The 24,742-nt window shown below is 35.0% G+C and overlaps 1 protein-coding gene across 12 annotated transcripts in view; it reads left to right on the forward strand.

Moving 5' to 3' along the window:
• The window catches only part of PBX3 (PBX homeobox 3), a 220,005-nt gene that overhangs the window by 153,098 nt on the left and 42,165 nt on the right, over positions 1-24,742 (forward strand). For 9 of the 12 annotated variants that reach the window (NM_001411009.1, NM_006195.6, NM_001330782.2 and 6 more), the window contains one exon: positions 15,216-15,457. The exons of the other annotated variants lie outside the window; for them this stretch is intronic. In NM_001411009.1, the coding sequence (NP_001397938.1) occupies positions 15,216-15,457 (242 nt within the window). The remainder of the gene's footprint in view (positions 1-15,215; positions 15,458-24,742) is intronic. 12 annotated transcript variants of the gene reach the window in all.

The raw sequence follows: 24,742 nt of genomic DNA on the forward strand, positions 1-24,742 counted from the left end.
AAATCAGGCCGCAATATTCTAATGACAGTTTAAAACTTCAGGCTTCCTATATAACCCAGGTGACCCCAGCATAATTGTATGTAGTGCAGATGACCCTAGGATAAACTGCTGACGTTCAGCTCATTCACAGTGTAGCCTCTACAGGCAGGTGGCTTTACACCTAAACAAACCACAAAGAGATGTAGCGAAAGCAAATGAGTTTTGTCCTAGTTGCGTACACTCATGGTATTATTTATATCATAATACTAATTCCCCAAATATAACTTGATACCTTTTAAACAGAGACACATCCACTAAGCAATGTGCTGAATGTGGAATTTATTTTATCAGATAACTGACCATTGTTTTCAGTGTAATACCTGGAAACCAAAAGCTTAAATGTGGGGGTCTTCTTCTTTCAGGTTCATCCCATAGGCCAAAGTATAGGGAGATACTTTGTTGTTCAATGATTAAATTATAATTTATTCTCTAACAAAATATAAGAAAACTGTTAGTATTGTAGATGCCAAGTGAGAATCCTCAAATCATTTCTAAAAAATGGCTTCAAATACCTTTTAGAAGCTTATTTAGTTTTTAAAGGTTATTTGACACTATCCCAGAATTATAGAATTTGAAAACTGAAAGAAAATTTAATTTAGCACCCTTTTTGTAAGTTACTATTTCAATTAGTTTTCTTATCTCAAGTTGATGTGATATCTACCCGCTTCCGTCAGTAATGCCAGGGAGCTCAAAGGTGGCTGGTAACAAAAGTGGTTTAAGTAAAGATAATGATAAATTTCATGTTTTAAAATAAATGCTTTTCACTTATAGGCCATTTATAGATTATTATCTAGCATTCAACTGTGTATCTGAGTTTCTTGGCTATATGAAAAACTGAATGAGTATAGGTATTTTTATACAATAATCTTAGTAGATAATATATTAGTTGATTGAAAATATATAGCAGTTCTACTTCAAAATTGTATTTCTGAAATAACTTTCTTAATGAAGCCTGAAGTTACTAAGACTTTGTTATGATCAATAGTTTCTGCTGAACGGCTATATATGTATAGGTTTTAGTATAGTACTGTGCATATAGTGGGTACTCAGTAAAGGTTTGTTGACTGAGAGCATAAATAAAAGGAGATTGAGCTGAAAAGAATGTAAAGGAAGATAATTTGGCTTGAAACATAGTGTGTGTCCTGTAGTTAATTGAACCAACTAACCAGTTACATGTTTTCTAGAGGGTCTTACTTCCAGTAACAGTTTCAAAGAATGTTACCAAACAACAACAACAAACAACAACAGCAACAACAAAAACCAGGTAGTAATCAATTTGAATCCACCTGGTGGACTGTTTATAATGTGTTTATTTTAGTTGTCTCATCCTTCTACATTCTTTTCTTGTCAGTTTACTACTCAGAGTTCTCCAGATCAAGTGTGAAAAGTAGCTACCTGATCTGACAGGACCTTGCCTAGACCGTGACGCACAATGTTGTCTTTTCTTTGCCTTTCTTTAATTGTGTCACCTTCTTTGTTAGAGAAACCCAAATCTTCTGTTTCTTGAAGAAGCTGCTTTTTTTAAAAATGTATCTTTTAGATACCTATTGTGGAAATAAAACAACTTGTGGTTTTTTTTTTAAGAGAAATGATGGTTTCTTATATGGAGAGAGGCTAGTAGCGAGGCAAATATTTATGCAAAGATGTTTGCTCCAAGAACCTAAACTGAAAATAAAATTAGACTGAATTTTTAGTTAAAGCTGCACCTGGATTGCATGCATATTTGAAAACATTATATAAGGTTTAACAAATGTATGATTAGAGCATTGACCAGTGTTATTCTGTTAAGTAGTTTTGCAGGATTTTCTCTTGCAAGAAGAATTTGTTGTACTCGCATTATTGTTTCCTTTGGGATCGTAGACAATGACTCTGTAGTGTGATTCATTAATATTGGTTGTCTTCAGCAGAGAGTATCCAGATTTGACCTGCCAAGTATTAAATTTTTAATGTATTACTAGTTCTTTCACAGAGTAAGGCTTGTCTTTGTTCTTTGTATTTTTGTACCAGTATAGCTTGAATCAGATACAGATTTAATTTGTAGTATCACTAAATATGCCTCATTTAAAACACGCACAATACACATATAAAAATGTTTATTGATGAAAATATTTCAATATGAATAGCTACCTTTTTAAATATTTGAAAGTATGCACTTCCAAATTTATTTTGAAAAGTGCCAGGGGGTGCTGTGTGCTATGTGCAATAAGTTAATTATTATGCTATTAACATTGATGATGGTGAATGTATATTAGTTAATGTGTTAACGACGTGTTAATTACTGTACATGTTGTGAAGACCCTTCAGGCTTGTTCTATGATGCAGCATGTCAACTTGAACTAGACCAAGTAATCTGCAAAGCAGACTGTAACTCTTAAAAATAACACTTGTAAACATAAATTATAAATTAAATTATGCTTTTTATTATTCTTTTTCTTTCTGGTAGAATGAATAAGTAATTCTTCTGCTATCTGCACCTGTTAGAACCCAATACTGTCAGACTCTGTTTTCCCCAAGAGGATTGAAAGAGATTTGTTATGCAATAACTTCCGCTTTGTTTACGCTCTGGCATTTAGTGTATATTTTATATAGATTCATTTGTTTTGCAGCCTGAAAGATCTTTCTTTTTTTGTTTACCAGCTTGATTTGAAATGAAAGACACTCACACTTAGTCTTTGTGTAAGCAGGTGAAAAGTGGCCTTGTTTGATTAGGACTACTAGTTGATACTAAACTAATCTGTATATACACATGTGATTCAGTTATAGCTCTTCAAGTTTAGTTGGCCAAATAGTTGAAATCTCAAGGGACCAGACATAAAAACAAAAAACTCAATGACAGTTTCAAATCATTTACAACAGAGGCCAGAATTTGTTGCTGTTTGTGAGAACATGGCATTATATATTTGTTGTCCTTTTCATCAGTATATCTTGATGCCTTGAAAATGTCAAATATTTGAATTTTATTACTTTAACTTTTGAATTAGTGGTTGCCCATTTCTTTCTAATTGTCAGTATTTTTGAAAAATACACCTGATGATAATCCTCAAGAGACTAATTTGGAGAAATACAAAATTATAGAATTCGATGTTATTCATACAATGGTATTTCTTATTTTTATGTCTTCAAAATCTTTGTTTCATATTAAACAAAAGAAGTAAGTTAACAAATGAGAGTTCCCAAATTTACTGAGGGTCTTGTGAGGATGTTTTTTAAATGACCCAAAACCAACTCTTGAAAATACAAAAATAAAATAGAAATGAGTGTTTCTGTAAGGCATTTACTCTGTCTTTTAGATTCTTCTAACATAATATGTATAAGAGGTGGTAAAGAGTTAGTTCAGACTGTAAAGCCAGACTGTCCTGCATCCAGTTCTAGCTTTTTCACCTTCCAGCTGTGTGACTATGAGCAATGGATCTAACTGTGGTGTGCCTCAGTTTCATGATAATTAAAATGGGCTTAATAATAGTACCTGCCTTACTTAGGGGTGATTAGTTAATACAGGTAAAGTACTTTGAGTAGTGCCTAGCACACAGAAAGCTCTCAAAAAATGTGAGGTCTTATTATTAACCTGCCTTTGATATTATACTAAAAATTATTTGGAAGCATTTAATTTTCACAAACTCTTTGATTTCCCTAGGACCCATTTTGAATGTGAGTTTTTGGTTTCCAGTCATTATAGTCTCGTACTTCATCATAGAAAAACACCTTATTTTTAATGATGGTTTTATTACTCCAGTGTTGTTTACATCCACCTGGAGTCATCCCAGATTTTTCCATTCGTCTAACCTTGCTTGATTTCCTATAGCACAGCTCTTGTTGAAGATTTATATTGGTGTGGAAGGATATTCTGACCAGGATTTTGGTTTCTCTTGCAAATATTTGTGTATCTCTTGTTTACAGCCCCAGTGTCCTCTTGTAAAACCCATGCAAAATGGGATTCTAATAAATCTTGTGCTCAGCATTACACATTGTTTGTTTTAGCTGCCTTCCACTTCATGCTTCCTCCTTTAAGAGCGAGCCATTATGAAAGGTTAGATTCACAGTTAGCAGGCTTTAGCTCTCCCTTTTGAATCAGTGAGGTTGCCGTTTTATTGCTCTCCGACTTCCACTTCAGTGATGAGAGTAAACTAGCATCAGATTAAAGGTCAGCAAATCCCATCAAAGAGAGGAATATTAGGGGCAGAGATAGTTGGAGAGGCAGCACACCACTGGGTATTGACAGGGTGATTCCAGGGTATCAGTCAGCAGAATTATAGCTGCCCAGAGAGTCAGTACAGCTTTAATGAGCCTGTGTGAAGAGGAAGAGGGTGGATTTATGTAGTTCCTCATAATTTTCTGTAGAGACTGTTATTGCAGACATTCTGTGGAGTGTTCTGGTCTTTCATTTAATTCAAAGGTCCTGGAGCTTATCCATCCTCTAAATTCCTTTTTGTTAGCTCAAATCAAAGTTGACATTTCCATGGTTTACCACTAAAACACCCAGTTCAAAATCAGGTCTCTTTAGGTAATTTTGAAATCTGTATATTGTTAATATAAATCTATAATCATATTTATCTTAATGCATGCATATTTCCTCTTCAGAGAAGTGGGTTGAATAATGAGCATTTCTTTTCATAACTAAGCAACAAGGGAAGATGTAAATTTACACATTGCCCTCTAAGTAACTGGGAAAAAAACTGATTATGTTATGGTGATTTTCAGCAATCTTAATGTTCATCCTCCTTAAATTGACTTTCCTAATTAATTGTTTATCTGCCCATTTGTGTGTACCCCATCTCACCCTTTATGCCGCCAATATCCATCCTCCTAACTGGAAAACTATTCTTTTAATCCCTGGAGGGAAAATGTTTTTAATTGTTCTAATGAGGAATACTGCATTTAATTGCTGTTATTTTCAGTTCCACCTTGATTTTGATGTCTTTATAGTGAATTTGACTCACATTCATTTCTTATCAAAGGGAGATTAAATCTATGTAGTTTTGAGATCTGGACTATGCTTTGAGAAGTCAGATGTTTGTGAAAAATGTCTTTGGATTTTTTTTTCTTTTTTCTTTTGATTTCTTTGCTGTAGATTAGTTTCCTAAAGGGTTAATGAAAGATATATTGACTTTTTTAGTTATGCTTTTATTTATTCATCACCATGAAAATTTATCAGTACACTTGTGAAAATTTATCAATTATCAATTGTGGAAAATTGTGAATACACTTGCACTAGAATGTTTCATTTTATTACCTAGTTAAACCAGCCACTTTTTGTAATTTGTACTTAAGAATATGCTGTTTTGATTATATTTCTAAGTAAATAAATTTTTCCATTATTAACATAGAAGTCTTGTTTGTGTTATTTGCTGCTGGGAAGATGCTCTGAAGCTTCTGCCATTGTCCTTTGCATGTCATGTGGGTGGTTATGCTTTTTAGACACTTACATGGTTTTTAATGGAAGAGAGTGATGGATATACTACCATGAGAAGCACTAATATCCTTTTTGAAGTTCACCATTGACTGAAACATCTATAGTACTTACAGCAAAGTATAAACTTAAGAGAGATGCATACAGACGAATGTTACATAGGAATATAGAAGCCATTTTTAGTCATTAATTAGATGCTGTATTTATATTAAAGAGTCAGCACACTTTAAAATCATGTGGAAAGTCTAGTAAAGTTCATGTTTCCTATAATCATGCCATGCTTCACAAAGCCTTTTCAATAAAACTGAGTCTGTGTCCTTTATAATAATACAGATAAAACTTTATGCTGTGCTGTTACATTGGAATGTACTGAGAATGCCAATGACCCTCATGCCGTATTTACTAGCATGCTATTTTGAGCAGTGCCTGTGCATCAGGGTAATTTGGCATTGCAAAAACAATAAAATGGACATTCCTTCCTGCAAGAGGAAAAAGAAAACCAGTGGGTATCTGCTATTCATAATGAAGTCAAGTGACTGTAATTTATATATTCACTTTTGAACATTTTAGAGAAAAGGGAAAGAAGATGGCTACAGGAAAGGAAATGAATACAAAGATAAGCATGAGATTAATTATCTGATAGGGGCAGGGTTCTTGCTCCCATGAGGGACATATGAATGACATTTACTGATCACCTTAAACTACAAAGTAAGTATATATGGTATTTTAATTCAAGTGGGGTCTAGTATTTTCATTTGAGAAAAATTATGAATAAAAATTTCTCCCCATTGGTTGTTTCTGACCAAAAATTTTGTATTATGTGTGTATGGTACTATAGATATATATCATCATATCTGTATGGTTTTTAAAATACCATTCATTTCAGCTGTGGATTATTTGAATAAAGTTTTCTGAAATACTAATTGAGAGGATGCATAGCTTTGGTGAAAATTTAACCAATTTTAACCAGAACACTGTGTAGCCAGTTACAACATCTTAATGAGTACATTTGCAGGAAGAAGAGTCCTTATTTCAGAACAAATCAACAGCACCATTTACTTTCTATGTGTTTTTCTACACATGGCTATTCTTTACATTTCTGTGCTTATTTGAAATGTGTGACCAGAGACCACTAATAATGAGCAACTATCATGAGTGTTTCATCATCAGCACACATCAAAATGGCATTCTATTTCTGGAAGTGATAAGAGAGTAAAAGTAACACAAAAGAGCAAAAGAAGGAACCAGAAACTTAGGTCATAATAATTGAGATGGCTAAAAGCAATAAAACTATATACCATTAAAATATGTTGCAAAATAATGTCAACACAACGTATGGTAAATAAATTTTGATATATAAAAATGCCAGAATTTTTAAAAAGATCAGATTTGACCATTTAATGAATATTATGAGAAATTAGATAAACATTTTGATTGTAGGACAGACATGTTTCAGATTATACTTCAAGATTATAATGTTCCATTTTCACCAATGATATGAAGTAACTACTTATTTGACTTTAGAAAATGTAGTATTTTAATTAAAAAAAGACTTTAATTCATATGATTTAAAGTGAATACCACTGTTATTTTTTAAAGTGACAATTGTATGTCAGGAACTATTTTAGGCATTTTATGTCTTTGAACTTCATAGTGATTCTTGAGTTCGTGGTATCCCTATTTACAGACAATGAACCAGGGGACCTTCTACAGTCACATGGTTAATAAGTGATAGTTAGAATTTGAGTCTAGGCTACTCTGACTCCAAAGCCATGTTCTCCAGTATTGTAATTTATTTGTGTTATAGTTGCAAAGTGAATTTAAAATCCAGTATTATAACTTATTTCTCTAGGTATCTGAGGTGTAGTGGAATTAATCCTGGACTTAAAGAGAGACCCGTGTTTAAATCATTATTTTCCCATTTACTCACCATGTGATCTTGGGCTCTAAAGTCACTTAACCTGTTTGAAATTTGGTTTTCTCATCTACAAATGAGGCCAATGACATCCACCCTGTAAGGTTATTTTAAAAATCAAATGAGAGAGATCATGTGAAAGATACAGTTGCTGCTTGGCATGTAGTATGTATGCTCAATGTGTTTGAATTTGAACATAGAGGATTTTTAGGCTAAGTAATAGAATGATTCCAAGTACTAACAGTGTCAGATTATCATATTAACAAATGTAAGGTAAGAAAGTTAAAGCCACCTATGTGAGAAACACAAAGACAGAAAACATTTGCTTTTTGGCAGAAACATCTTGTATTGTGAACTGGGTCTGGGAGGAACTTATTGAAGTCTGGAAGATCGGTCTTCCAGAAAATAGAGCAGTGAGGGAAGCAGCTGTGTGGAGAGGCACACACGATGCCCTCAGTGTTAGAGGGAGCAGGCGCACAGTGTAGTGTTATCCCATTCACAGCATGGCAGTGATCTTAACTGACAAGACAGGAAATGGAAGTGCTATGGCGATCTCATTCTTCAGGGAGAAAAGGCAAGGGAGCAGAATGTGGGAATGGGGGAACACAAGGATTGCATGGTTTGTGTAAACAAATGCTGAAGAGTCCTGGAGATGCACTCTTAATAATATGAGTATTAATAATAGAAGAGGAGTCATTGGTTTCTATGGAAGTCCAGATGTAGACTTCTAGCATTTTCTGGTGAGATCCCAGGCATGTGGTAAAATTTAAAGAATATCATCAGCACCATTAGATCATTAGGTCACTGATAAACACATAGAGTAGCTGGGGTCACAAAGACCCATAGGGATTAAAGCCAGGGTTTTAATTCTTTCCCCCGACTTAGATTCTGAAGCTCATTGCTTTCCCTTTAAATAGTGCTGTTTTTTTTCTTTTCAAATTTAGTTGTCATATTTACCAGTCCTAAAAATTTCTTCAATAGAGCGTTTTGTTTGAACATCTATCCCTTTGGATAAAAAGAAAATGGCCGTTTCCTTTTTTCCCACTACTTGTAATAATTTCCTTTAGGAGCAGAGCACAGGTAACCCTTTGTGCTAATATGTGTGAGAAACATGGCCCGTTTTTTCCTTCATCCTTTTTTCACTGTCTCATGCAAGCATAGCATACTTCATATCTTGCCCTAGCCCTGTTCTCTTCTTGTGTAGCTGACAGTGCTTATATATCAAGCGCTCCAACAAGATGCAGCTCCATTTAACAAAAAAGTGCCTTAAAAATGTAACTCTTCTTTCCGCATTTTTATTGCACAGTCCATCTGCTCCTTCATCTTGGCTGCTCTTCACTTCACAGTGACAAGGCTCACTCCTTTTTCTTGTCTCTTGAGGCAGGATCTAATTGGCAAGTGGAAAGTCTTCAAAATTTGCCTTTGCCAGCCAACAGTACTTTCAGATTTTTCTGTAAACAGTTGGCTAAAATAGGTTTGAAGAGCAAAGAGAAAATATAATGAAACTGAAGGATTTTTAAGAAGTCTTTTCCCACAGAATGAACACACCTTCCTGTGGTAGCAAGGAATGTAATAAATGTTTTCAAATAAATGAACTACTGGGTAAATACAGTAAGTATAATCAATACTTTTTTGATGGCTCCAAGCAGCAAATGTTTAGCTTGAATCATTATTTCAGGCTTGGCTCTTCTGCGTAAAGTATTCTACTATTTCTGGTAAAATAAATCATGTGAACTTGTGATATTGCTGGGGTTGGCAGTGTAGCAGGGAGAAGAAGTGATCCATAAGTGTTCTCTATGTTGCCATTTGCATTGCTAGGAACGTGAAGAAACGTCAGAGTCATAGCCTAGGGAATTACACTGTCATAGAAAAACACTGGTGATTCAAGAAATGCCTTTAAATGGTTTTCCTCTTCTCATTTAAAGTACATCTGTGGGACTGCAAGAAAATAACTCGGTCCTGCCCAGGAGTCTAGTACCTGTACAGACCAAGATACTAATAATGTCATTATAGCATCTAGCTGCTTTCCATCGAACCCCTAATAAAGGTCATTAGCTGCCTGCCTTCTTGAGTGAGAAGGTTTTGCAGCAAGTGCTTGGAGAAAAGTTATCAGTGCTGTATGTTAGAAATAGGCATTCTGCCAACAGCTTTATAATGAAGGTGAAATGTAATAAAGCGATGGATTGACAGTTTATGTGTTGAAAGTGAAGGAAATGGAGGTGTGGAGAAGCATTATGGGGAATCTTTCTAGTCATATCTTCAATTTAACCATCAGGGGAAATGCTTCAAAATCTTAGATTTATGAATTTCTAGTAAGCAGTTTCACAGCATGTAAACAAATCTCAGTGGGCTGTTTTAGGAAGGTAGATTTGGGCAGTGAAGTAATCATTTTTATTCCTCTGATTTTCCAAATAGAAATGGACATATATGATAAAAATGTCAGCCACCCTCTCCACGTCAGGGCCCTAACAGGATTACATGTCAGTTCTTAATGTCTCGCTCTGTTTTTCTTTGCCATGAATGGCTGCATTATTGCTCACAGGAACTTCACTGTAATATATGGTAAGAGACAAGTAGCTCTTTATGGCCAGTGATTATTCGGTTTGAATGAAACCTGTGATTTATGTCCATTTAACTGAAAAGCCTTGTAAATTCCCAGTGCTGCATTTTTCCTCAATAGAGAATGAGTCAAGCGAAAGTGACAACTAGGTTGGCGTGGAAATGTGCAGTGCATTGCCGTGTTATATTTAATATACCTGACATGAAAAACGTGCACACACCACACAGTCACCTTAAATAGGAGTGAAAGTGACATTAGCTTGTAATATGACTGCCATATTCAGTGGATTAGACACTAACATTGGCTTAAAAGGAGATTTGGAGCTGGAGTGGGATGGGCTTTGGGGCCATGAGTTGTGATGGGCAACTAGATCACCTGCCATTTCCTCATAATCTTTTAAAAATTGGTTATTTTACAGTTGTTTTCTATTGATGTCTACAAAATAACATGACTATTTCTTTCATTACAAGCTTCATCTTTAGACCTAAGGAGGAGAGTGTGAAATTCAGGTGCAAATATTCCAGATCTTTCTCTGGAAGTGTTGATATCATTCTGTTGGCCTTTTTTTCATTTTCAGTCAGTCCTTACTTAAGGGTCTGCCTTTCCTGGACTTGGCTTCTTAGCCCACTCTCTAGTCCACCCACTGTTTAACTGAGAACCTTACCCTCCCAACCCCAAATACTTTAGTTTAGACAGTGATGCCTTGAGGGTTTTTCAGTGTCTTTCACCACTGTTTCCAAATTATATCCCAGTTTTCACAACCAAAAGTAATTGTTTCAAATGAGATCTCATGACCATGGGGCTTGTGACCTTCATTTCATTTCCAGATGTCCTGCCTCCTATTTTGACTGCATCTTACTTAAGGATTTCAGATAGAAAATTATTTTACCTTTTTTATGTTTGGGGAGAAAAGTAGCAACACGTCTGTCTTAATCTTTCTTCTTCATCTATAGTTTGGGTTACACTTCTCAAACTGTGGCTGACTTGATTTTTAAATGAAGAAAGCACAGAAAATAAAGTAGGTATTTTTACTAATTAGCTTTGTGACTTCTGACCACTATCCTGCATGTTACTTTAAAATAACAGACACAAAAGAAAAGCTATGAAAAATTATAAGAATAACAGAAAACATTAATATTAAAATTGTCGCTTATTTCAAAGCAGTCAAGAATTCAGGGCCTGCTGAAAATATCTCATCTGGCCTTGTTTTACATGGCACTCTGCTAAAACATTTTTCTCTGAGCTAAGACTGTGGTGTGGTAGTTGAATGAATCAAAAAACAAGTCCATCAGAAAACAAAATTACAGCGACGTCGTAGGCCTAAGCTTATGAATAATTTGGGGCCTAAATTTATGGTATGCTCATTAGGAGAAAAAAAAATCAAACAACTCAAGTTTCCATAATAGCTTTTTGTTTCTCAGCAGGTCTGAATAATGTACTCTTTACTAAGTAAAAGTGATGTGATGACAACTTTTATCATTATTATGGATATTATCTATCTTCCCTGATTATGGAAATATTGTAGGGCTAGATCTTAGTTACGTCTAATTCAGGACCACGTGTAGAACATATTTGAAATAGCTATGGTCTGAAGCCATACTCTTCAGTGCTGGATGAACAGAGGTTAGTCATGGTCCAGTGGGCTTGGTCCTTGAAATGAGGGAGCCACAAAGCTTAGTTAGTGCACTGTGTTGTTTGCACCTCATTCACTCAGGTCAAGCCTTCATTGTGTTACAGTGTTCTTCTGTTAGAAAGGCTCCTACTGTACAATCTAGCCAATGCAGATTTCTAATCTGCTTATTTATAATTCAAAAGCTTGCCTATATATTAATGAACCCTTAATGAGCTGTTGAAAATGCCTGAATTACAGTCAGATTATTAAACTCAAACAGCCCCGTAATCATACCATTTGAGTGGGCTTTAGGTACTTTTCACATCTGCAGCTTAGAATTGTGAAGGGTATGCGTTTATTCGGAGAAAGCTTTGTAATAATTTTGACCCGTAATTTATTTATTGCCCTCCAAATGCAGTCGTCTATGCAGATGCTCTCTCCCATTATCTGTGGGGCAGGTGCACAGCATGTTGAAAGACAGCTAATTAGGATTTGCTGAAAGATATGCAAAAACTGTAGGCTTATAACAAAGCCAAGTTCATTGTTAAACAATGTTTTACTGTGTTTGTATGATTTGTCTAAATCTTAGGGATACGGAAATGAATGTTGTGATTATAAGTAGATTGCAAATAGGGTTTATTTTTTAAACTTTATAATGTTGTGATGACCAAAGAACCTAGATGTAAACCTTTATAAACCTCTGTATGTTTCATTATACATACATTTTGGATTAAAAACAAGTACAATCAAATTTTAAATGATTGTTTTACCATGTTTCAATTTGAAGATATCAAGATATTTTGATAACCACACAGTCTGATTCATTCTGGCCCTTGCAAATTTAGACCCATTAAAATGTTTATAGGTGCCCAGAGGAGTAGGTATTATGACTAAAAGCCAGTGTAACTCTAGAAAGTTAGTAAACTAAGTAATAGTGAGTGGCTAGGTAGGTAGGATGAGGAATAAAATGGTAACTAAATGTTTTTAAGTAAGAAAATAAATAGAAATATTCAAATTGAAAGTAATTTTGGAAACCAGGTATTAGTATTTAAAGATCCCATAATCATTACTTTGCTTAATAAAGAAAAGAAACCGATTCACTTTTCAGACTAGTTATGAAAATTCCTTTATTATTGATAGTCTTCTTCTTGTTGCCTATTTGCAAAGTACTTTAGTACTTTTCATCTAAAGAACTATGAGTTTTCCGTCAGGAAATGATTTTTCTGATGAAATTTGATGCACATAATTTATAAAGTAAATACAAAGGATTGCATTAAAACATATTTTCCTGTTCTTGAGGCAAGCACTTAGTGTTGATTTACTGATAATTTTAGAAATAAGATATTTTTTCATTATAAGAGTAAAACGTTATAGTAATTGATACTGTATACTTATAATTGTTTTTATTTGTGTCCACGGCTTTTGAGCTTATGGATTGCTTCTTATTGGTACAATAATGATGGTTTATATACGTATTTATATACATATGTATAAAAGTATCATAGATGGCTAATTAGTTTTGTGCCTTTTGCATTTGTTCCTAATGAATTTCCTTCTGTCTCTCTTATGGTGTACTTCCTTGTATGTTTGTCATTGAGCTTCTTCTCTTGTTTGCCGTACATGTGCAGGGAAGTGTAATCATTTTGGGTATGGAAGTTAATCTGCTATTAAAGTACTTCACCACATGTCCATAGGGAAAAGATTAATGTGTTTAACTACAAGGGGAAAACTAGAAACCCGGAGGAAACTTGAAGGTAGATTAAAAAAACACATTTCAGGAGAGGCACCAGTGTCTATGTAAATACAAAAATCAACAAACACACAAAACTGTGGGCAAAAATTCAGTTGAAAATGGAGAAACTTGAGAAGTCCTCAAACAAGAATAAAAAATTAAACAATTCAAAGTGCAGCATAAGAGATTGCTCAGTAAGCTCTCATTGCATGCCAAATGCACAAAAAACTTGCTATGTGAACTACAAGCATGTACAGGTCGTGAGATTTTTAACATTTAACACAGTGAATTAAAAGAGAGGAAAATTAAAGATTTAAATTAAAAATGCAAACTTAACCAATACATGGCAGTTCTAGAACAATATTAGGCAGTCCCTTTTAGTTATAGAAGAAACAGCAAATACGTTTGCCTATTTTTAATTATCAGCAGTGTGTTGGTACGCATTTTATGAGTTATCTTTTTGCTCTCCTAAATGAATATATTGTCTTAGTATATTATAGTTTTCAAACCTTATTTGCCTCTGAATAGACAACAGATAAAATTTTAAATTATGGTGAGTTAGTTTTATTATCCAGTTGAAATTATTCTGAAGTATAATTTTAAATGAAAGTGACAGCTTTAAAGTGTTTTGGGGAAGAAATTAAAGTTTTGCATTTGTGTTAAGGCAACCAAGAGCTCTGTCATGCCATGGATGTAATTCAGGGCATCTAGGAATGAAATCTGTTCTTAAAAGAATTGACGGTAGCTTTAGGTTAGCATATAAAATCAGAGTTGGTGATCAGTTGAGTACTTGGCAGCTTATAGATGTTATGTCATGTAAGTTACACTAGACACAAAGTGTGTACCACTGTGGATAAACAACAACAGGCACAGACTCAAAAGAGAATCCAAATACAAACAAGCAAGGTGCCAACTTCCTTTTCCCCTCTTCCCCAAGAAGCCTTGTAACTAGTGTAGGGAACCTGCTTTGAAGCAGATTTACAGAGGTTAATTGGGCTGGGATGTTTTAGATTATGTTACACATTAATGAAAATGCTGATTTTGAGCTGTCATGACTCCAATGCTTTTTATACCATGATAATTATTTTAAAACTTTGTCTTCTGTGTTGTTGAAAACATTTTGGCAGAAAGCCTGTGTGACCTGATTAAACCTATGAATTGTCAGCTATGATCTATAGTACTCAGAAGAGGTTGCTGACTGGGCATCACTTAGGAAGTTCTTGATTTAAAAGCAAAATTAGATTGAGACTACTGTGCCCAGCACTGTATTGCCATGTCAATGGCACATTTTTAATACTGTATTTAGTATCCTCGTTTTATAGTTTGCTGGCAATTGCTTAACAATATTCATTTAATAATATATATATATTTAAGTATAGCCAGTTACCTCATAATGTGTGTATTCCTCTTCTGAAATCACACGATGGAAAAGCTCATCTAATGTTGTTTATTTTTCAATTTTTGATTACAGCTTGTGAATTAACTATTTTATGGGAATTTTAATTCTGTTTCTCCAACTGTACAGAGAGAGACAGAATAACCACCTTTGGATGAGTTGTTTTATATCCCTGTAATTATTTTCTTTCTTTCTTAAAACATTCAATTTTTTACCCTCTTCCCATTTTATGCTTAAATTATCTAAATCTGGGAAGCTTGAATGATTAAAATATTCCAGGAAGCCAGGGTTACCTTTTTCTAAGGATCTAGTCTGTGGTAAATTGAGGCGGTGGGGGGGTATTTAAAATTCTAGGGTGCATGTAAACACTATCTTAAAAATAATTTTCATACTTATTCAAACTTACCGATCAAATGTGAACAATGAAGTTCTCAGCATGAATTGTAGTACACTGATGTTGTTTGATCATTTTCTCGAATAAACAAAATACTCACACTATTTGTCCTCTGTTTCTCGCTTCTTCTCTCTCTGTCTCTCTCTCTCTTTCCTTGAAGGTCTCAGCATCAGAGGAGCCCAGGAGGAGGACCCTCCCGATCCCCAGCTAATGAGACTGGACAATATGCTTTTGGCAGAAGGGGTTTCAGGTCCTGAGAAAGGTGGGGGATCGGCGGCAGCAGCTGCAGCCGCGGCAGCCTCTGGAGGTTCTTCAGATAACTCTATTGAACACTCAGATTACAGAGCCAAATTGACCCAGATCAGACAAATCTATCACACAGAACTGGAGAAATATGAACAGGTCAGCAGCCGCCACTCTCATAGTCCTACACAAACCCTCTGTTGCTCTTCTATTAGACCATGCTAACCAATTCTGAGGGCTGTGAGGGGTAGGTGTTAACACAAATTACAAAATAAATAAGGTCAGTGCAAAAATCCAAGTGAATTGTTGGATTCATGAAAGGAAGACCCTTTGAGATTTTGGAGGAGGAGCGCTACCTATTTTATCCCATCTACTTGTTTTAGTTTTATTCATTCCGCACATTCACGTGCCCTTATTACCACACCTGCAGTCATTCTTCCCTCTCACCTCACCACTTGGTGCTCTTCAAAGCTCTGTATAATTAACATTTATGCACTAGCCTTGTTCATAAGCTTTAATCACTTTTGAAGGGAAGCATTGCACAGTGAGCTTTTCCCTCCTATGCTGTGAGCTCCAGAATCCTCCTGGGAATTAATTCTTATGGATTGTGCCAGACTATAGGGAACTTCACCAAGTAAGCAGGTTCCGGCCTGTTTCTCTGAGTATGAGACCTCCCAAGATAATTATGGGTACCCCAGGACAGGGAATGCTAGGCAAGGCATTATGTGCTAAATTCCTTATTAGAAAGAGAATATGGGTTAAAAATCTGGTTCTCAGCAATTATATTAACCATACTGAATCTCAGATAACTTTAAGTTGCATCTTTATGTAACACCAAGAAAAAATTAATACTGCTAGTTTAACTATAAAATATTACTGATTATAAAATGCTTTCACATTTCAGAGATGTTAAAATGTGGAGAAAAACAAGAGAGTCTTAGATTTAATGTAATAAAGTAAAATATTGGTGGGTCTTTTTACATATATTTTAGTTGTTAGTTTAATGCTGAAAAGCTGCCAAGTTTGAGGAATTCTCATTTGATAAGATTTGTCATTTGGAAGGTAATTTTAAAAACGTATTATGAAACATTTTATAATACATGTACACAAAAATAATGAGAATAGTATTAGATTGAACCCTATGAAATTGCTAAGTTTTGAGGCCAAAAACAGTTGAATATGGTAATTTCATAGAGTTCAACCCCAAATAAGGAATCAGAATCAGCTAGATACTTTTTACCCAGATAAACAGTTATCAACATTTTGCCACTCTTATTTTGTGTACCCAGCCCCAATTTGGTAAGAGTATTTTAAAGCAAGTCTTAGACATCCTATAATTTCACCCATGAGTATTTCACTATGTAGGCAAGTACTTTTTAAAGTCCACACACTTTAGTGTGAAATGGGAGTCCTGGTGAGTTTTGTGTGTGTTTGTGTGTATTTTAAAGACTCTTTTAAAGAGGAGTTTTAAGTTCACAGACCAATTTGAGAGGAAAGAAGAGAGATATCACATATACCTCCTGTCCCCACACATGCATAGTCTCTCCCATTATCAGCATCCCCCACCAGAGGGGTTCATTTGTTAAAATTGATTAACCTACATTGACACATCATTATCACCCAAAATCCATAGTTTACATTAGGGTTCACTCTTGGTATTGTGCACTCTATGGATTTGGATAAATTTATGATGGCATGTACCCATCATTATAGGGTCATGCAGAGTATTTTCACTGCCCTAAAGATCCTCTGTGCTATTCATCCCTCTCTTCTTTTATTCTTTCCTTCCCACTGATCCCTGGCAACCCCTGATCAGTTTTAATACTGATTTTTTCCCCTCTACATTCCCTGTATAGTTTCAATTATATATATCGTTGTTTTTTCACATTGCCTTTTCTAATATTCTGGATACAATGGTATTAAGCAAATGCTGAATCCTATCCCAGAGGTGAGTGTGTTTTGAGGAAGAGTAGAAAAATTTGTATAGCTTTAAGTTAAAAAGTAGTGTAAATTAATATTATAAGGTGTTTTCTATTTTTGGAATAGGATTTTCTGAGATCTAAAATTGTATGTCTAGTCTCATTTGTAAGAATAACTTCTTGTGGAAAATGTACAAATAAGAATTTTGGAAAAATTATCGTGTGTATGTATGTAAAAATCCCACTTTCTGATTTGACATATGAATAATTGAGAGTAAACAAAATAAGTCATGGTTGAAAAGGTTGCCCCTGAGCATAAACAGTAGAAAATGACTCTTATTTGTAGTATAATCCTAATTGTATAACTTTATGCTAAAATAACTATAACTACTTACTAGATAAACACTACCAGTCACCTTGCATGGAAAGAGATATAATATTAGAGGCCAAATGGCCTGAGTTTTTTGGCTGAGGAATTAAGGTGATTCCTTACTACCTCTTGCCATGTGTCTTTACACCTGCCTCCTTACTTTCTCCATACACTCTGGTGGAAGTTGTGTGAAGCTGGTGTCAGTCAATGACAAGGTCCTGAGTCTCACTGTTTTAGAAATATCCTACAAAATTTTCCATGAGATTTTATGTAACTTTAGCCCCAGCTTATACCAGCATCAAATCACCAGGGTTTTTTTTTATTGTTTTGTTTTGTTTTTGGCTTTTAAAATATACATGTATATGCATGTTCTTCATACATTTATCTCTTTTTGTTTGTTTGTTTTTTTAAATTGAAGATCAAATTGGGAAGCACTGAGTTTAAAAATATATTCATGAATTATTTGTGGATATAATCAGTAGCCTAATAACGATCTAAATATATAGTTCCTTTTTCATTTTAATACTTTCAGATGGAAAAATATAGATATATAAAATCTGTACAGTAGGGACAAATGAATAGATGGGGTATGAAGACTAGTTGGCAGATTCAGCAGAATTTTAATTTACACATTTTCTCCTGTAGGTTTGGAATTGTTTTAGAAGTGATGTAGCAGCACTTAATTCTTTTAAGTTGTCTTTGGGGCTGGCTTTTATAGCTCTTGTGACTGTAGTTCTCCAAAGTTATTAGGATCGGTGCATTTTGACCCAAAACAGTCAACTTTTCCTTTCAGTTCTTTAGGGTACAAGGGCTTTATCTGGATGGTCCTTTCAGAGACATGCTTTGGCGTTACAAGAAGGACTAGGCAGAGCTAAGAAGGGATAGGATTTCTGAAATAGATAGTATTGTAATTTCCATTTTATAGAGGAGAAAATGAGACTCAGAGAGGGTAAGTGATTTGTCCAATGTCGCACATCTAGTTAGTGTCAGAATCAGACGTTGAAATCAGTTTCTGAAAATGTCTTCCTTTTTCATTGAATTGTGCTGGTACCCATGTAGAACTGGAAAATAATTCAGGTACGTTCTGGTTTTCTCTGATTTTCCCATGTTGGATTGCATTTGAAATGGGAATAGAGCAGATGGAAAAACAACTTTTTAACTTTTTTTTTTTTTTAAGACAGAATCTCACTCTGTCACGCAGGCTGGAGTGCAGTGGTGCAATCTCGGCTCACTGCGACCTCCGCTTCCCAGGTTCAAGCAATTCTCCTGGGATTACAGGCGTCTGCCATCATGCCCGTCTAATTTTTTTTTTTTTTTTTTTTTTTGTATTTTTGGTAGAGACGGGGTTTCACTATCTTGGCCAGGCTGGTCTTGAACTCCTGACCTCATGATCCACCTGCCTTGGCCTCCCAAAGGGCCGGGATTACAGGTGTGAGCCACCGCGCCTGGCCAAAAACAACTATTTTACACTTTCCAGAAATTATATTTTTCCTCCTAAAAGTGAACATGGGTACTCTGAGTGACAGAAAGCTTAATAGTAAATAGGAAGAACATATATGTTAAGGCAAAGGCTTCAACAGAAAATTGTGTTGAGTCTTTTAGAAATAAACTACATTAGAATCTTAGAGTTATTCACTCTACTGTGTTTCACAATGAAGCTGTAATGAAAGTGTATCTGAAGACTGTTTAGATTTAGATTGCCATAAAACTAACAAACATCACCACTGCAGTAAATTAAAGTACCTTATAAGCACAGCCACATTTACAAAGCTAAGCAGACAGACTAGAGCTACAGTTTGAGCAAAATTAAATCCAAGCTGCAAGGCTCAGTTTTATGTGTATGTTTTAGAGATGGTATTGTCTTTAAAATCCTGTCTTTTTTCCCTCCAGAAAATTGTTCTTTTATCATATGTCTCTATTACATAGGCTCAGATTTAATGATTCTTGATGATAACCATCTAAAAATTCACTTATAAACACTTTTGAAATATTAGGCATGGGATGTATATTAGGGTAAGGTTCTTGAATATTACTGCCACCCAAAAGGAAACAAAACTATTTTATTTTCTTCTTGTTGATTCTGACACCCAGCAGGAATATGATAATTTTCCAAAACTTGCGGCAAACTGTCTTATAGTACTTCGTCTTGGGTACATTGCCTCGCTTTTTAGCTAAGAGACAAATCTAGTTGCTTCTCTGTCTTATTGTTGATTAGCTACAACTTTTGAAAAATGCCTTTACTGTACCTTGCAAATACTTTCTTATGGTTAAAGGACCACTGTTAGAATAGGTGAGTTCCTAGAACTTAAGCCAAGGTTCCTGGGAAGCCTTATTTTTAAGAAGTAAAGGCCTCCTATTGAGCTGGTCTTTCTTGGTTCCTCCACCACCCTACCAAAAGGAAATGGACACATTGGCTTTTGCAAATGAAATTTGACTTCAACATTTGTTCTCAGTTAAAAAGGAAAAGATATATAATGCTCTGTGCAGCTCTCCCACTTTGCTTGTGCCAGAAGAAATGCGTGTACACAGGCAATTCACTCATAATTTACAGCTGCTATAATAGAGATGACATATTGAAAGCTATCTACTATAATTATATTGAAATACATTTTTTGCTGAAGGCAAAAGTGTTGTAAGGGTCCCAACCCTTCCCAAGCATCTGGGAACCTGCTTTCTGAGTTCGCAGATGTCATTTGAACTCACCCCAAATCAGGCAAAGCACTGGAACCAAGGAATACACTGAATGTGCTCAGGACCAATCAGGTAGCGTTTGGCTACCAGAGGACTTACAGATTGCAGGGGGAATGGAGAATGGGTGAAAATTTAAACTACTGTAAAAGCATATCCTTGTGCTTTTTGAGGTCTCTACATTATGTGCTTAGGTTTGCTGGCAAAATAGCTTTTGCTTGTAAAGGATTTTATTTTTATCAGATTAAAAAATGCTGATGTTTTCACATTAGAGATTGTGCAGCCTGTAAACTCCTAATTCCATTTTGCTATTTCTTCTTAATGGTTAAGCAGGACAGACAAAAGGATACTACCTGATTTCATGTTTCAAAGCAAGGATTTGTCATTCATTGTTCCAAGGGAAGAGTTTTATTTCTTGTTGGCTTTCATGCCTGGACTTTTCCTTGCCTGGAAGGAGGGTTTGGTTTGTTCCCTTTTTTTCCTTCGAGTTACTAGTTTATTGGCTCTATGTACCAATTGTATTTATGACCACAAGCTCGATTAATAAAATTATTTGTTTTATTTAATACATTTGAATACTCTTTTTTTTTCAACTTCTTTGGAAGCAGTTTTTGTACTTATTCAGGCAATGAGAAGGCAGAACTATATTAGATAAAGTGTGGACTTGCTTGCAGAGTAATGACATAAAAATAGTATGAATTTCATAAAATTACCATTTTCATTGTCATCAGTAATAACTGTCATTTACTGAGTATTAATTATGCTGCAGACTCTGTGCAAAGAACTTAACATACATTATATAATATAATCCTTATAAAACCCTCATGAGATAGGTCCCTAAACCATGTAATTAGGTAAGAAGTGTTGAGGTACAACAGCTATTTCATCTTTGTGGTTGTTCCTTAGGCATATTGGTCTCATTCTAGTTGGCTTAGAATCTTTAAATGCAGACTTTTATCCCAAAACAAGAAAAATTTGTTGATTTAATAAGCATTCAGTAAATACAAAATCTACCGTATTCGACTAGAGTTACTTGTGAGGCTGGCGAGACATTTGGAAAATAGTTGCAGTACAAATTTGAGGGGCATCTACTTTTTAAAAGATATTTATTCTTTCTTGTCAAAAGTGGGCTTTAGAATATTATGATCTGTTTACAGTTAGCTTTTCTTGATGGTTACAAAAGACCAATTCAGTTTTTAGATCTGATCACTGATCATTATAAAACTTCCCCCAAAATCAGTGCTTGCCCACTGTCTACTTTGCAGTTTTACTTCCACAATATAAACTTAAAGGCAAAAACGAGGTTGAATCTTGAATCCACAATGAAAAAAGCCCCACCACAAAATAAAGAAAACACCGAAAACTTTAATTTTCTGTGTAAACCAAATATGTACAGATATTGAGGAGACAGTTTTGCCAGCCAAAAATATCATTAAAAAGTTATTGAGAATCCAAATATTTTAAATCCTCAATTATTACTTGGTTTGGATTTTTAAGGAGAAAGGAAAAAATGGGAAAGACAAAGACTCATAATAAAAATTGATTGAAAATGGTTTTAACAGATGAAATCTTCCATGCCTTATGTTAACTGTTATTGCAGTGTGTGTTTTAAACACATAAACAAAAATGCATCCTAGGTAGTTTTCAACAGCTGGATTAAAAGAAAAAGGCTTCTGCCAGTACTTCTAATCAGAAAATTCAAGGCATACTTTTATTTCCCAAATATTGCAATTAACCACAGTATATCTGTATTTATATTATGGACATTAACCAGAAAGCTTGTAACTGACAGTTTCACTTGGAAAACACAAGGCAAGGAAAAATTTCTCCAAATGTCTATTTTAATATATCTTATAGACATGAAGTAAGATATGATAAATGTTTGAAGTGAGCATTCTATATTATAAATAGCATCAATGTTAATATGTGGTTGGGTGGCCCTTCCAAACAACTGCAATCATTTGATCATTCTTACTGTGTTTATATGTTTAAAAAATGTATGCCTTTTAAGGAGCTAGGTGATGAGACAGTACTGTGCTCTGCTCTGAACCTGGTACAGATGATGCTGAAATGAGGCTGTAATTTACTTTCACTGGGATAAAGGAAAAAAATCACTTTGCTTTAAGTGTATGCATCTTTCTTAAGGGTGTACCCAGATTTTAATTATCTAAATGTAAATAGTTAACGAATTTTACTTAGAGTAATGAGCTAAAGTGCACACTACATAAATGAGTTGTTCTAATTAATCATGTATGAACTACTGGTTTAAAGAAAAGCTATGTGAATTCTGTGAATGTTGGGCTATTGCCAAATTGCTCATCAGCATTTGCATTCATAGATGGCTTCACTTAATAAGTTGTGAGACATTCAGCAAATGTTTTAGCAAATTATGAGTTTTTAGATGCAGACACTTTTTTGCTTTTAACCCTTTTTTCTTATATAAGTCTTTGGCTGCTCTTTAGAATCCATAGACAAACACTCATTCTGGAGAGGTTAAAACCCAGCTAGACAAAAACTAAGACAGCTAATATCTCAGGTGTCATTCACATAGAAGTCTTGAATTATTTGTTAAGATATATGCCGTGTCATAGATGTATGTTACCATAATGAGTGAGCTAGGTTTGTTGGAATTAACAGTGTTACGTGGCATTAGAAACGCTTCCATACTCTGGTACAGCAGTTTTCAAACTTTTCAGTCTTAGGACTTAGACTCTTAACAATTATTGGAGACTTCGTAAAAGCGTTTGGGTTGGTGGCTTACGTCTATAAATATTTATTATAATAGAAATTAAAACTAGAAAAATTTAAAGTATTTACTAATTATTTTATTTATTTTTTGAGACAGGGTCTTGCTGTGTCACCCAGGCTGGAGTACAGTGGGGCGAACATGGCTCACTGAAGCCTCGACCTCCTGGGCTCAAGTGATTCTCCTACCTCAGCCTCCTGAGTAGCTGGGACCACAGGTGTGCATCATTGTGCCCAGCTAATTTTTAATAATTTCCTGTAGAGATGGGGTCTCACTGTTGCCCAGGCTGGTCTTGTACTCCTGGGCTCAAACATTCCTCCTGCCTCGGCCTCTTGAAGGGCTGGGATTACAGGTGTGAACCACTGCACCCAGCCTATTTTGTTTTATTTTAGAGACAAATTCTCACTCTGTCGCTCAGGCTAGAGTGTAGTGATATGATCATAGCTGACTTCAGCCTTGATCTTCTGGGCTCAAGTGATCCTCCTGCCCCAACCCCCCTAGTAGCTGGGACCACAGGTGTGTGCTACCATGCCCGGCTTAATTTTTAAATTTGTTTATTATAGAGATGAGATCTTGCTGTGTTGCCCAGGCTGGTCTTGAACTCCTGGGCTCAAGCAGTACTCCCACTTCGCCCCCACAAAGTACTAGAATTATAGGCATGAGCCACCATGGCCAGCCCTAATTAATTTAAAAATAACAACAAGCTATTATATGTTAACCTAAATAACTTTTTTTAAAAACAAAAAACCTTAAAATTTAGTGAGAAGAATGGCCTTACTTTTTCATTTTTGCAAACTCACTATGGGCTTGACAGAAGTCAGCTTGAGTCTCATATCTGCTTCTACAGTCAACTGTTGTCATATGGTTGAAATATATGAAAAGCATTTGACCTCACACAGATATGTCATTGCAAAAGAGAAGACGTTAATAGCCTTTTCAGATAATTGTGAATACTATTTTTTGATATTACACCAAAACTTGACAAGTTATAGTTTTGTAAAGGTATGTTGCAATGAGAAGCCTGAAACCGTGTCAGTTAACTTTTTGTACTCTGTTTATTTAAGATCACTGGTCTGGTTTTCACTTTGAATGGCTCTTGTACCTATGTGTGCTTTTGTAACATCATGCGTTGATAATTTGGAAAGTACAGGTTTACTGAATTATGCATATCTTCCAAATTTTGACACATTTCATTATATAATATCAAAATATCGTATTTATGGATATCAACTCTGAACTCATCAGAAAGTCTACTGGGAAACTGTTAAGCTTACAATGGTGGATGCAAGTTTTTCAAAATTCTGATTTTCACTTGAAAACTCAAATTTTTTAATTGGCATAATTCTGTCAGCTGTTTTCCTTGGCATGGAAGGCTTACTTGTTTCATTTCTGAGAGAACATCTGCCAAATACCCAACTCCATATAATCATAATTTATCATATTTGTTTTCAAGTAAAAATGATGTTCCATGAAGAAAGTGACTTCTGCTCATTACTTAACCATAAAAGTGCTCTTTCTCAAGACAGTCCTCCTTCAATGTGCAAATACAAGTGCTTTTTTGTGTGCTTCCCATTTGACACACGCAATATTAAAGACATACTCAAAGGTTGATATGTAATAAGATGAATAATTGATATTGCTTCATCAAGGACATTCCTAAGTCAAATGGGCTTTTATTGTGTTTGTGTGAATGTATGGTGGTGAAAAATTTTAAAATATAT

The sequence above is a fragment of the Homo sapiens genome, chromosome 9 (assembly GCF_000001405.40).
Source record: "Homo sapiens chromosome 9, GRCh38.p14 Primary Assembly".
NCBI classification, from domain to species: domain Eukaryota; kingdom Metazoa; phylum Chordata; class Mammalia; order Primates; family Hominidae; genus Homo; species Homo sapiens.